Below are 4,068 nucleotides of genomic sequence, written 5' to 3'. Positions count from 1 at the left end.
CTAGGATAAGAAAAGGCAAGAAAAGCTACTCAGTGAGGAAAGACATTTCTATAAAGAACCTTTTTAGAGGTTGGTCCAATTTCGCATCTAGAATTGGATGAAAAATTATTGAATTAAATTATCATTTCCTCTAACATTCTCCACAGATTGGAAACTAAATTACAGCATATTGATAAGAGATTCACAATAAACAATATTTTTAAATTTTAGATAAATAGCAGAAACATTTATAAACATTTATAAGAAATAATTTTTAGTTGCTGTACTTTGGGCTCATTAAGAACACAAATTCATTGACCTTTTTACTTTTTCCCAATCCATTAGCCTTCTTACTTTTTCATCTTCCTCCTTGGCCACCACAGAGCACACAAAACCAGCATTAAAAAAAAAAAAGAAGAAAGAAAGAAAGAAAAGAAAAAAGAAAAAAAACTTAGGCAAATACCTTAACTCTATAGCCCATCTGTGTTTTCATTACACCCATCAAGGTAAACCTCCAATCTGGATGAAACCAGGTATTTGCTTTGTCTAAGCCAGCACCAGGTCAGCTAGGTGCCACTGAAGAAGGTCATACAATGGGGCAAACTGGACTCCAATAAATTCACAATGGTAATCTCAGTGGGAACAACCCACACTTAGCAGAATTTTTCTTGTGTTTCTTTGCTCAACTCCTGGGCTCAAAAAAGTTTTCCAACTACGGATCTCTACTTTTCCTTCCAGTTTAAAATATGACCATGCCTAATAATTCACATAAGTGCTGCAATTATCAACAAAATATGAACATTCTAGCACCTACCACAACTAAACAGTGTCCTTCTTCTTTCCTCATGTTTCAACAGAAAAGGTAAACCATGCCACCTGTATCTTGAACATCATCCCCTTCCTCATATTCAGGAATATCACTCCCAGAGAATCTCTTCCTCTGTATGTTCATCTCTTCCCCTTAACAACATCCTCATCATCAAGATTTAACCATACACGTCTCATCTGTCTTTTGCAAATACATGTTTCATATATTTCTAACTATTGATTATAATCTCATATCTCTCCAACACTACCTTATCATGTAAGAATTATACCATGCAGCTCCAGGATCTTTGAATTTCTAAGAACAAGTGATACATTATTCCCATCATCTTGGCCTTTAGCATGCCTCACAACTGTATGAAAAATGGCTGGAAGGCCAGGCGCAGTGGCTCATGCCTATAATCCCAGCACTTTGGGAGGCTGAGGCGGGCAGATCACGAGGTCAGGAGATCCAGACCATCCTGGCTAACACGGTGAAACCCTGTCTCTACTAAAAATACAAAAAATTAGCCGGGCATGGTAGCACGCCCCTGTAGTCCCAGCTACTCAGGAGGCTGAGGCAGGAGAATCGCTTGAACCCGGGAGGCAGAAGTTGCATGGGCCAAGATCGCGCCACTGCACTCCAGCCTGGGGAACAGAGCAAGACTCCATCTCAAAAAAAAAGTGGCCAGAGATGCCAGGTGCAGTCACACATACCTGTAGTCCCAGCTACTCAGGAAGCTGAGGCAGGAGGATGCCTTGAGCCCAGGAGTTCAAGGTCAGCCTGGGCAACACAGTGAGCCCCACATTCCCACATTTCTTAAAAAAAAGGAGAGCCAACCAAAATTTCTACATAGAGTAAAAGAAGTGGAAGTAGTGATATATGGCAATAATGAGGCAAGATGTAGGAATCCTGAGACACAATAGTTGCAAGGCTAAGAAGACAAATTTTTAAGAAAAGGCAAAGAAAAGACTTCCCTGGGGATGGCTTCCCTTAGAGAATAACAAAAGCTGAGATACAAATATGGGAAACAATTGGCTATGGAAATAAGGGAGGGAAGAACGTTCCAGGCAGAGAGATACAGAAGGAAGATGAAAAAGTAAGAGGGCTAATGGTCAGAAAAATCATTTGACAGAAGAAAGGACCATGGGGCTAGATCCCTGAGATCATGGGAGAAACAGGTGGAAAAGATATGTAGAAACCACATCATACAGGGCTTACAGGTCAAGGTAAAACAAACAAACAAAAACTTTTGCCTTTCTTTTAAACGAATTTTAAAAATATTGAAGATTTTTAGACAGAGATATTAAGTATCACTTTTTATAACTGGAAAAAAATACATACTTTCAATGTAAAGAACAATTCGGACAGGAACAAATTTCTGTCTGGGATGAATAAAACCAGACAGACTCAAAAGACACTGGGAAAGTAAAATCAATAAGACGTGGTAAAGGATTGCATATGCAGTTGAGAGAGAGAAGAGAGAAAAGAGAGACAGAGAGGAAGCATGACTCTGGGTATCTTGCTTGCACAACTGGGTAGACACCAAAATAAAGACAGATTTGGGAGGAAGATCAGAATTCAAGTCTGGTTGGACATTAGATATTTGCAATGTCTTTGAGTCATCAGCAAGAAAATGTGGAGTAAAGGTTTGTATTTTAGAAGAGGTATCTAGCTACATTTAGATTTGTACATCATCTGTTTTATAGACTTCAACAGATTATAAAGGGAGAAAGCATAGGGTGAGAAAAGGAGATGGCCTAGATTTGAGCATTAAAGAACTGCAACGTTTAAAATCTGGGAAGAGGATGATGAACTGGAAGAGAAAGAGAAATGACCAAGAAAATATGAAGAATAGAACACAAGAGAAGAGAGGGTTCCAAGAAGTGTTTCGTTCTAAGAGAATAAGGAAAGTGAGAACAGGAACATATCAGTTGCATTTAGCAACCTGCTTTTAAGGACATTTCTGTTCCCAGAAAACTAAAAATATTATAAAGGCACTAATTACATTTTATCACTTCAACATAGTTTTCTAACATATTGTATATATTCCTTACTTCTATTTTTTATTCATAAATCATCTACTGGCATAAGCCCATGAGCAAGCAGTCAGAGCTAAAGAATCACTATTTTCAGCCCATTTCCATTGCTGTCTCAATTATACTAAGTTTATGAGACAAAAGCACCTTTTCAATAGTATTAGCATTTTTTAAATTTTTTTCTCATTTTAAAATACTAGCAGCATAAATGCAATGAAGACTAATATTGAAACAATTACTTAAAATAATAGACAAAGATGGTGTGATGCAAACTTCCACAAGATGAGTTATAATTCAACAGCTTGAAATGTTTATCAATTCATGAATAAAAATGTGAATTTCATTAGTGGCACATGGTGAAGTGGTCAATATCTAATGTACAAAATATAAGTGGTTAAAAAGACAAATGTTTGAAAGTTGAGGTTTACCTGTATCTTACGCATAAAATTTAAATTCACAGAAATGTCTTCAAGGGATAATTTAAAGAAACAGAGAATTTAAATACTTTCAATTCTAACTTTAATTTAAAATTAATTAGCATACAGTTTTGAGAATTCCCTTCTTTCCTATACCACATTCACAGTAAAAGTCAAGAATCCTTTTATTACACATAGGGAAATAATATTCAACGTATGGATATGGCTTTGGATCAACTGTAATCATGTACAGATACTGTTAAGGTAAGTTTTAGATATACTTTCCCAAGTTTTAGATATACTTTCCCACCTGTAGGACATGTAAGTACAAACACACTTTTACAATTCAAAATACTAATTTATTAATCTACATGTGACAAAGATCCTCTCCTTAACCAAACTTTAGTCAGATCCTTCTGAGTCCTCTGCTCAGCTAGGTCTCACCTTGGGCTTCCCTTTCTGTCCTTGTAGAGTAAGGTTTTAGCAAGAATACTGTCAGTCAGTTCAGAGAGAATCCCCACCCTCAATATTTGATAACTCTCAATATCTATCCAATTCCTCATCCTCCACCCTTTATATCTGATCACTATGGCCTGCTTTCAGTAAGAATGCTTTTTGGTCTGTTAAGGAAAGAATTACCCTACCCTCAGTAATTTTCCATCCACCACCCCCTCCATTCTGCCCCTTGGATATAAATCCCTACTTTTTCTTGTATTCAGAATTGAGCCAAGCTCAATACTGAGGTCTTTTCCTCCAATTTCAATAATATCTGATTTTTTATTGTAAATTTACAATTTATAATTTAAAATCTATTTTTACAGCTTTAACT

This window comes from Homo sapiens, chromosome X, assembly GCF_000001405.40.
Source record: "Homo sapiens chromosome X, GRCh38.p14 Primary Assembly".
NCBI lineage: Eukaryota > Metazoa > Chordata > Mammalia > Primates > Hominidae > Homo > Homo sapiens.
This window is presented reverse-complemented; position numbering follows the sequence as displayed.